Source organism: Homo sapiens, chromosome 14 (assembly GCF_000001405.40).
Source record: "Homo sapiens chromosome 14, GRCh38.p14 Primary Assembly".
Lineage (NCBI taxonomy): Eukaryota > Metazoa > Chordata > Mammalia > Primates > Hominidae > Homo > Homo sapiens.
The window spans coordinates 34,641,341-34,652,355 of record NC_000014.9 but is presented as its reverse complement, the minus strand read 5'-3'; the positions used below and the strand labels follow the sequence as shown (position 1 = coordinate 34,652,355).

General features: G+C 45.6%; 2 annotated features.

Moving 5' to 3' along the window:
• Window positions 294-512: a silencer, noted in NCBI's record as "fragment chr14:35121050-35121268 (GRCh37/hg19 assembly coordinates)". NCBI's record gives its function as "represses an EF-1alpha promoter that drives an FKBP-Casp9 reporter gene in an ReSE screen in K562 erythroleukemia cells {active_cell/tissue: K562}" and the evidence as "EXISTENCE:reporter gene assay evidence [ECO:0000049][PMID:32094911]".
• Window positions 2,852-3,690: an enhancer, noted in NCBI's record as "H3K27ac-H3K4me1 hESC enhancer chr14:35117872-35118710 (GRCh37/hg19 assembly coordinates)". NCBI's record gives its function as "activates a minimal SCP1, AML or CMV promoter by ChIP-STARR-seq in naive H9 embryonic stem cells {active_cell/tissue: H9 hESC(naive)}" and the evidence as "EXISTENCE:reporter gene assay evidence [ECO:0000049][PMID:30033119]".

The window sequence follows — 11,015 nt, the reverse complement described above, 5'->3', positions numbered from 1 at the left end:
AGTAGGGGAGAATACTTGTGACTTCCAGGAGGAAGAGGAGATATCAGGCTGGCTGTCCGAGGGACACAGCTTTATCCTGGAACAGTGAACCCAATGGGGAGGGTCCTGCAGGCAGACGGCGGTTGGAGTACTATAGATGACTAAGTAGGGTCTAGTCCATTGAGGTTGTAGGGTTTGAGGGGTCAGACTCTTAACAAGAACTGATCGTCCAGCTAGGGTGTCTTCTTATGGCTAGGAATTTGGAATAGGCAAGAGAAGATTAGCAGCCTGGTGAATTTCCTGTCTAGCTTACTGGAGGACTGGAAGATAGCCGCCTAGAGGGCCGGTGTCTGGGACGAGGCTGGGGCCGAGTAAGAAAGTGCATCCAGGCCAGGCGTGGTGGCTCACGCCTGTAATCCCAGCACTTTGGGAGGCCAAGGTGGGCGGATCATGAGGTCAGGAGATCGAGACCATCCTGGCTAACACAGTGAAACCCCGTCTCTACTAAAAATACAAAAAATTAGCCAGGCATGGTGGCGGGCGCCTGTAGTCCCAGCTTCTTAGGAGGCTGAGGCAGGAGAATGGCGTGAACCTGGGAGGCAGAGGTTGCAGTGAGCCGAGATCATGCCACTGCACTCCAGCCTGGGTGACAGAGCGAGACTCGGTCTCAAAAAAAAAAAAAAAAAAAATGCATCCATATAAAAGTCTAAATGGACTGTACACTGTAGCATCTCAAGGACAGGCTCTAATTCTGAGAAGGGCAATAGGTAAAAGTACTGTCCAGTCATTTTTAAGTTGGAGGCTGAGCTTGGTGAGGTGTGTCTTTAAAAGACCACAGTGGCTTAACACAATAATTTTTTTTTCTCCTTCATTTCACAGTCCAGTGTACTCAGCAAGGGAGCTCTGCTCTACCTGGTCATTCAGCAACACAGGCTCCTTCTACTCTTTGGCTTCCCCTATCTCTTTGGCTTCCTCATTCTCTGCATTCAGCTGGCAGATATGGAGAGATGGAGTGTCTAGGATCACTGTGGTCAGCAGAATAATGGCCTCTAAAGATGTCCACATCTTAATCTCTGGAATCTGTGATTGTTATCTTTATTGCAAAAGATACTTTGTAGCTGTGATTAAATTAAGGGACTTAAAATGGGGAGATTATCCTGGATTATCTGGATGAGCCCTAAATATAATGACCTTATAAGAGCGAGGCAAGAAAGTCAAGGATAAAGAAGTAAGGAGATATGAAGATTGAAAACACTGGAGTGATGCAAGGAATGAGTCACAAGCCAAGGAATGCAGAAGGCCTCCAGAGGCCAGAAAAAGCAAGAATTCCCCACTAGAGCTTCAGAAGGAAGCAGCCCTGCCAACAACACTCTGACTTGAGCCCTGTGAAGCTCATTTCAGACTTCCGGCCTCCAGAAGTAAGAGAATAAATTTATGTTGTGTTAAGCAACTAAGGTTATGCTAAGTTGTTACGGATGTGCACACATCATTTTCAATCATGTTCCATTGAACTTAGTCACACAGCTACTCCTATCTGTATGGGAGCCAGGGAATATAGTCTCTCTACGTGGCCAGGAAAAAAAAAGAAAGAAGGTTGGGGCCAGTCACCCCCACATCCCTTTATGGAGGCTTCCAGATCATGGATCCTGTCACGCGCATCCCGGTGAAGAGAGTCCACCAACAGGCTTTGTGTGAGCAACAAGGCTGTTTATTTCTCCTGGGTGCAGGCGGGCTGAGTTTGAAAAGGGAGTCAGCAAAGGGTGGTGGGATTATCATTAGTTCTTACAGGTTTTGGGATAGGTGGTGGAGTTAGGAGCAATGTTTTGCGGGCAGGGGGTGAATCTCACAAAGTACATTCTCAAGGGTGGGGAGAATTACAAAGAATCTTCTTAAGGGTGGGGGAGATTACAAAGTACATTGATCATTTAAGGTGGGGCAGAAACAAATCACAATGGTGGAATGTCATCAGTTAAGGCTATTTTCACCTCTTTTGTGGATCTTCAGTTGCTTCAGGCCATGTGGATGTATAAGTGCAGGTCACTGGGGATATGATGGCTTAACTTGGGCTCAGAGGCCTGACAGATCCCACCAGCCAGACTGACCATCTTTCAGCTTCTCAAGAACACCACACTCCTGTCTCGCACCAGACCTTTATAACTACTGCAGTCTCAGCCTTTTAATGAGTTCTGTGGCAGGTGATGGTGGTTTTCACTGGAATTTCTGAAAGCCTTCCACACCACGTTTATACCATTCAATTAAATGCAAGAGGGGGAAAGAGGTTTTTTTTGTTTTTTTTTTGAGATAGAGTCTCACTCTGTTGCCCAGGCTGGAGTGCAGTGGCACAATCTTGGCTCACTGCAACCTCTACCTACCAGATTTCAAGTGATTCTCCTGCTTCAGTCTCCCAGGTAGCTGGGATTACAGGCATGTGCCACCACACCCAGCTAATTTTTGTATTTTTAGTAGAGACAGGGTTTTACCATGTTGGCCAGGCTGGTCTCGAACTCCTGGCTTCAAGTGGTCCACCTACCTCGGCCTCCCAAAGTGCTGGGATTACAGGCGTGAGCCACCTTGCCCAGCCGAGATATTTTTAATAATTTAGAATTTATCGCATGCTGTCAGTATGCTTTTAAAATGAGAATACACATGTTCTATCTGACTTTCCTTTTTAGAAACTGCAAAACAAGGAAATTGTGTAGATAGCAAGGTCAGAGAAGTGACTGAAAAATGTGGCTGTAGAATATAAAAGAGTAAGTAATTCAATACATTCTCTGAGTCATAAAGTAGAAGTAGAAAGAAACCTCAAGAGGTCATTTGGTTGAACTCTCTGCTTCTGAGAAGCCCTAGACTGAAATCATCCCAGATGAAGCTGGTGAAGGGAGCTGGTGGGAATTGGGGAGAGGAGGAGACAGGAAGAGGGCCAGGAATTGTGATCTATTCTAAGATCTCTAGGCATGGAGATGAGAAAAGACCTTTTCAAAGTTTTGTCTCAGTCCTCAGAAAATCTCTACATAGCTGAATACTCAATACTAATATTGGCTGGGAACTTTACATATGGAAGACCTTCTGGCATCCAACTCGGCTATCTTCTAATTTTGAGGAAGGGCTGAGGGTTGGGAAACTTCTGGGCCTCAGTCACACCCCAGGGAAAGCTAAATCTCAAGATCTCCCCCTACCTCAAGATCAGCCCTGACTGGGCTGAACTGCCAGATTAGAAAAGGGGCAGCCCTCCTGTCAAGTCATCTCTGCGTCCTAAAATGGGAAACAGGGCAAGAACCTCCCCTTACCATCAGCAGTTGCTTCAAAGCCTCTGATGCCCCAATTCCCTCCAAACCTAAAGAAATCAAGATCCTTGCGTCTGTCATTCCCTCCTCCTATCTCTCCCACTTTTCCTTTTTCTCCCCACCTAACTTTGTCTCCTCCTCCGCTCTAGACTATGGAAAAGTCTTACGAGCAGGCAGGAATATCTTGTTTACATAGTCAGAAGCTTGATATTCTTTTTTTTTTCTTTTGAGATGGAATCTTGCTCTGTCGCCCAGGCTGGAGTGCAGTGGCGCAATCTTGGCTCACTGCAAGCTCTGCCTCCCGGGTTCACGCCATTCTTCTGCCTCAGCCTCCGGAGTAGCTAGGTGGGACTACAGGCGCCCGCCACAACGCGCGGCTAATTTTTTTTTTTTTTTTTTTTTTAAGTAGAAACAGGGTTTCACCGTGTTAGCCAGGATGGTCTTGATCTCCTGACCTCGCGATCCGCCCACCTCGGCCTCCCAAAGTCCTGGGATTACAGGCATGAGCCACCGCGCCCGGCCATTTAGGCACTTGATATTCTAACTAGAAGACCCAAATGTCCTTCAAAAAAGGGCGGGTGACTGCTCTCTCTTGTCATGGGGCAATAAATCTCTAGGCTTTCAGTCCAGAGATGGGAAGCTAGCAAACAAAATTTAAGGAAGTATTTAGATTCATTGTTTTAATATTTACAAATACAAGTCCTGTTTCAGTAACAAGTGGCAAATCCAGAACTCAAATGCAGTTTGTCTGACTTAAGTCTGCACTTTTTTTTTTTTTTTTTTTTGAGACAGAGTCTCGCTCTTTCGCCCAGGCCGGAGTGCAGTGGCGCGATCTCGGCTCACTGCAAGCTCCACCTCCCGGGTTCACACCATTCTCCTGCCTCAGGCTCCCGACTAGCTGGGACTACAGGCGCCCGCCACCGTGCCACGCTCATTTTTTGTATTTGTAATAGAGACAGGGTTTCACCGTGTTAGCCAGGATGGTCTCGATTTCCTGACCTCGTGATCCGCCCGCCTCGGCCTCCCAAAGTGCTGGGATTACAGGCGTGAGCCACCGCGCCCGGCCTTAAGTCTGCACTTGAAAAAGTCATTCTTTAACTTTTCTGCTCAAGGTCAGTTTTGCTTTATATCCCCCAGCTTTTTACTTCTTTTGTTGTTGTTGTTGTTGTTTTTGAGATAGGGTCTTGCTCTGTTCCTCAGGTTGGAGTGCAATGGGGTGATCTCAGCTCACTACAACCTCTGCCTCCCGGGCTCAAGCGATTCTCCCACCCTCTCAGCCTCCTGAGTAGCTGGGACCACAGGTGCGTGCAAGCCCCATCTAATTCTTTGTATTTTTTGTAGAGGAAGGGTCTCACCATGTTGCTCAGACTGATCTCAAACTCCTGGGCTCTAGCAATCTACCCACTTCAGTCTCCCAAAGTGCTGGAATTATAGGCATGAGCCACTGTGACTGGCCAATTCCATTTTACTGCAATTCAATTAAAACTATTGTTGGGGTAGGCTGGGCGTGGTGGCTCACACCTATAATCCCAGCATTTTGGGAGGCCGAGGCGGGCGGATCACGAGGTCAGGAGATCGAGGCCATCCTGGCTAACACGGTGAAGCCCCGTCTCTATTAAAAAATAGAAAAAATTAGCTGGGTGTGGTGGTGGGCACCTGTAGTCCCAGCTCCTTGGGAGGCTGAGTCGGGAGAATGGCGTGAACCTGGGAGGCGAGCTTGCAGTGAGCCGAGATCGCGCCACTGCACTCCAGTCTGGGCGACAGAGCAAGACTCCGTCTCAAAAAAAAAAAAAAAAAACTATTGTTGGGGGTGTTGGGGGTCCATTAAGGACTTCTTACTATACTACTGCTATGGTGGAGTTATTCCTGCCCTTAAGGAGATTTAAATTATTTGGGATTTCTGCTGACCCTGATTTCCTGCATTATCCCTACCTTCAACTTTGAACTTCTTTTCTTTGTAAGTGAACGTCCTTGAATCAGCTTAATTTGTCATCTGTTTAAGCCATGATCGATAGAAAGGATCTCCTTGAACTCATGTGGCAGGTGGCAGGTGGCTAGCTGAGGCATGTGCCCCTTCCAGAGTTCAGGGTTATTGCTGCCCAGATCAGGGGTTACAGTTCCCACACCCACTGCCTCAGGATGGGCCACAGGACCTATCTGGGCAGAAGTGATGTTCCTGCTGCCAGGCTTTGGCCCGCAAGACTGTCCGTTTGATCCTGGTGCTCTCTCTGCCCTCACTCAACAGCATCTGCAGCTCTATGGCAAGCATTCTGAATCCTTTTGTGCTGTAGATGCCTGAATCCCTTCTCAGAATAATGCTTGTTTAAAAATAGGCTTTTTAGGGCAGGCACAGTGGCTCACGCTTGTAATACCTGCACTTTGGCAGGCCGAGGCAGGAGGATCACTTGAGGCCAGGAGTTCGAGACCAGCCTGACCAAAATGGTGAAACTCCGTCTCAACTAAAAATACAAAAATCAGCCAGACGTGGTGGCAGGCACCTGTAATCCCAGCTACTCGGGAGGCCAAGGCAGGAGAATCGCTTGAACCCAGGAGGCGGAGGTTACAGTAAGGCGAGATCGTGCCACTGCACTCCAGCCTGGGTGACAGAGTGAGACCCTGTCTCAAAAAAAATAAAATAAATAAAATAAAAATAAGCTTTTTATTTTGCAATAATTTTAGATTTACAAACAAGTTGCAAAGATAGTAAGTACAGTTTCCACATGCTCCTCACTCAGTTTCAGTTTCCCCTAAAGTGGTCATCTTACAATACTGTGGCACATTTCCTGAAAGTAAGAGACTAACATTGGTACATTATTATTAACTAGATGCCAGACTGCCACTAGTTTTTCCACCAATGTCCTTTTTCTGTTCCGGGATCTAATCCAAGAAACCACATTGTATTTAGTTGTCTCCTCTGGTCTGTGGTAGTGTCTCAATCTTCCCTTTTTTTCATGACTTTGACAGTTTTGAGGAGTATTGGTCAGGTATTTTGCAGGATTCCAGAAAAATGATTAAGTGCATAAACTAGGGTTATAAAAGAAGGAAATCATATGAAAATATAGGTATTAAAGTTCTTTCATACCAGCCTAAGCAACATAGTGAGACCCTGTCTCCACAGACAATTTTAAAAGGCCAGGCACAGTGTCTCACGCCTGTAATCCCAACCCTTTGGGAGGCCAAGGAGGGAGGATTTATTGAGCCCAGAAAATAGAGACCAGCCTGAGCAACACAGGGAGAACCATCTCTACAAAAAATTTAAAAATTAGGCCAGGCACGGTGGCTCACACCTGTAATCGCAGCACTTTGGGAGACTGAGGCGGGTGGATCACAAGGTCAAGAGTTCGAGACCAGCCTGGCCAACATGGTGAAACCCCTTCTCTACTAAAAATACAAAAATTAGCCAGGCACGGCGGCACATACTTATAGTTCCAGCTACTTGGGAGGCTGAGGCAGGAGGATTGCTTGAACCTGGGAGGTGGAGGTTGCAGTGAGCCAAGATTGTGCCACTGCACTCCAACCTGGGCGACAAAGTGAGACTCCACCTCAAAACAAACAAACAAACAAACAAAAAGAAAGTGAAACAGCCTTATTGTTGATATAGAGAAAGTTTTAGTGGTCTGGATAGAAGATCAAACCAGCCATAATATTATCTTTAAGCCAAAGCCTAACCCAGAGTAAGGCCCTAACTCTCTTCAATTCAGTGAAGGTTGAGAGGGGATGAGGAAGCTGCAGAAGAAAATTTTGAAGCTAACACAGGTTGGTTCATAAGGTTTAAGGAAAGAAGTCATCTTCGTAACATAACAGTGCAAGGTGAAGCAGCAAGTTATCCAGTAGATCTAACATAACTGATGAAGGTGGCTACACTAAACAGATTTTCAATATAGACAAAATAGACTTCTATTAGAAAACGATGCTATCTAGGACTTTCACAGCTAGAGAGGAAAACTCAATGCCTAGCTTCAAAAGACAAGCTCTCTTCTTGGGGACTAAACCAGCTGGTAACTTTAAATTGAAGCCAGTGCTCATTTACCATTCCAAAATCCCAGGGCCTTTAAGAATTATGCTAAATCGGCCAGGCACAGTGGCTCACGCCTGTAATGCCAGCACTTTGGGAGGCCGAGGCAGGCGGATCACCTGAGGTTAGGAGTTCAACACCAGCCTGGACAACATGGTGAAACCCCATCTCTACAAAAGTACAAAAATTAGCTGGACATGATGGTGGGTGCCTGTAATCCCAGCTACTCAGGAGGCTGAGGCAGAAGAATCACTTGAACCTGGGAGGAGGAGGTTGCAGTGAGCCGAGATCGTGCCATTGCATTCCAGCCTGGGCGAGAGAACGAGACTCTGTCTCAAAAAAAAAAAAAAACAAAAAAAAAGAATTATGCTAAATCTAGCCTACCTATGCTTTATCAATGGAACGAAACGACAAAGCCTGGCTGACAGCACATCTGTTTACAATATGGTTTACTGAATATTATTTTTTAACTTTTAAAAAATTTTAATCTATCTATTTATTTAGAGACTGGGTTATGAGACTGGCTGACTTTTGTATTTTTGGTAGAGATGGGGTTTCACCATGTTACAAAGGCTGATCTTAAACCCCTAGGCTCAAGTGGTCCACCTGCCTCAACCTCCCAAAGTGCCGAGATTGCAGGCATGAGCCACAGCACCTGGCCAGTTTACTGAATTTTTTATTTATTTATTTATTTTTGGACAGAGTCTCACTCTGTCACCGGGCTGGAGTGCAGTGGCGCTGATCTCGGCTTACTGCAGCCTCTGTCTCCCAGGTTCAAGAGATTCTCCTGCCTCAGCCTCCCGAGTAGCTGGGATTACAGGCACCTGCCACTGTGCCCAGCTAATTTTTTGTATTTTTAGTAGAGACGGGGTTTCATCATGTTGCCCAGGCTGGTCTGAAACTCCTGACCTCATGATTCGCCCACCTCGGCCTCCCGAAGTGCTGGGATTACAGGCGTGAGCCACCGCACCCGGACAGTTTACTGAATTTTTAAAGCCCATTATTGAGACTTACTGCTCAGAAAAAGAGATTTCTTTCAAAATATTACTGCTTATTGAAAATGCCCCTAGTCACTCAAGAGCTCCGTTAGAGATGTTCAAGGAGATTAATATTGTTTTCATGCCTTTGAACACGATAGCCATTCTGAAGCCTGTGGATCAAGGAGTAATCTTGAATTTAAAGTCTTATAATTTTAGAAATACATTTCATAAGGCTATAGCTGTCATATATATGATTCCTCTGATGGACCTGGGCAAAGTAAATTGAAAACCTTCTGGAAGGGATTCACCATTTTAGATACCATTAAGAACATTCAGGATTCATAGAGGAGGTCAAAATATCAACATTAAATGAAAGTTTGAAAGAAGTTGATTCCAATCCTCATGGATTTAAAAGCTTCTTTTTCTTAAAAGTAATCAGAATCTTTTAGCAATTCAAGACTTCAGTAGAGGAAGTAACTGCAGATGTGGAAACAGCAAGAGAACTAAAATTAGAAGTGGAGCCTGCATCAGATGCTCACGCCTGTAATCCCAACACTTTGGGAGGTCACGGCGGGATGATCCCTTGAGCCCAGGAGTTCGAGACCAGCCTACGCAACATGGAGAGACTCATCTCTTAACAAATAAAAATAAAAAGTTATAAATTAGCTAGTTGTGTTGGCAGACTCCTGCGGTCCCAGCTACTTGGGAAGCTGAGGCAGGAGGATCATTTGAGCCTGGGAGGTTGAAGGTCAAGATTGCAGTGAACCATGACGATGCCCTGCACTCCAGCCTGGGTGACAAGAGTGACACCCTGTCTCAAACAAACAAGCCACCTACCTCTAAAAGTTAATATGATATGAATTCATTCTTTTTTTTTTTTTTTGAGACAGAGTCTCGTTCTGTCACCCAGGCTAGAGTGCAGTGGCGCCATCTCGGCTCACTGCAACCTCTGCCTCCCAGGTTCAAGCAATTCTCCTGCCTCAGCCTCCAGCATAGCTGGGATTACATTGCGCCCAGCTAATTTTTGTGTTTTTTTGTGTTATTTTTTTTTTTTTTTTAGAGATGGGGTTTCACCATGTTGGTTAGGCATGTCTCGAACTCCTGACCTCCTAATCTGCCTGCCTTGGCCTCCCAAAGTTCTGGGATTACAGGCGTGAGACACCATGCCCGGCAAAAAATTCCATTTTTGACAGTGATCATAAAGATAATTTTTTAAAAATCTAGATTCCAAAATACAGGAAAAAGTGGAAGTGAAAAGGCTTCACACACACACACACACACACACACACTTCACACATACACACATAGAAGGAAAAGGGGAGGAAACAACTCTAGAGAAGCAGTAGATGTTTTATTTGGGGGAAGTGTATTTTTTATTCTGAAGGCAGGAATTCTTTCTTCTTTCTTTTTAGAAACACAGTCTCACTCTGTTGCCCAGACTGGAGAGCAGTAGCATGATCATGGCTCACTGAAGCCTCGAACTTGGGCTCAAGTGATCCTCCTACCTCAGTCTCCCATGTAGCTAGGAGTACAGGTGCATGTCACTACAACCCAGCTAATTAAAAAAAAATTTTTTTAGAGAAATGGAGTCTTGCTAGGCTGCCCCTAGCTGGCCTAGGCTGGCCTCTATCTCCCGGCCTCAAGTTATCCTCCCACCTAAGCCTCCTGAGTTGCTGTGATTACAGGTCTGAGTCACTGTGCCCAGTTGCTATAATTACAGGTGGGAGCCACTGTGCCCAGTCAAAATTCCTTTTTTTTTTCCTTTTTTTTGAGACAGAGTCTTACTCTGTCACCCAGGCTGGAGTGCAGTGGCGCGATCTTGGCTCACTGCAACTTCTGCCTCCCGGGTTCAAGCGATTCTTCTGCCTCAGCCTCTTGTGTAGCTGGGATTACAGGCATGTGCCACCATGCTCGGCTAATTTTTGTATTTTTAGTAGAGACAGGGTTTCACCATGTTGGTCAGGCTGGTCTTGAACTCCTGACCTCGTGATCTGCCCACCTCAGCCTCCCAAAGTGCTGGGATTACATGCGTGAGCCACTGCGCCCAACTATGTGCCCAGCCGAAATTCTTAAAGAGAAATAGTGGATTACTTGCTGCACAGAGTCCAACAATTTTGTAAAATTTTAAAACCTTCTTTTCCTATGATTGAAAAAAACACAACGAAGTCTCGTATTGCACGGTGGGTGTATTCTTAGCAATATGACTAAAAATAGAATTTTGGGAAATGAAATATTTTAGATGCTTTTGTGACTTAAAAAATAGAGTTATTTCTGGGTATAATTCTTCTGAAAGGTAATTGAGGGGCTTTGGGAATCTTCAATTTGAGCCCCACCTCCTCTTTTTTTCTTGAGATGGAGTTCTCACTCTGTTGCCCAGGCTGGAGTGCAGTGGCCCGATCTCAGCTCACTGCAACCTCCGCCTGAGTAGCTGGGACTGCAGGCATGTGCCACCACACCCAGCTAATTTTTGTATTTTCAGTAGAGACAAGGTTTCACCATGTTGGCCAGGCTGGTCTTGAACTCCTGACCTCACGTGATCCACCCACCTTGGCCTCCCAAAGTGCTGGGATTACAGGCGTGAGCTGCCATGCCTGGCCATGAGCCCTTATATTAATTTTGCTGACCACTTACAAGTGTCATGTTTTAGGCTCTTTCTTTCCCACATTTTCTCCAGGTCTTATCTCTTGTGCCTCCACTGCAGCTGTATGATAGAGGAATGAGGTCATAAAATCATCATATTGAAATGTAATTTAGAAA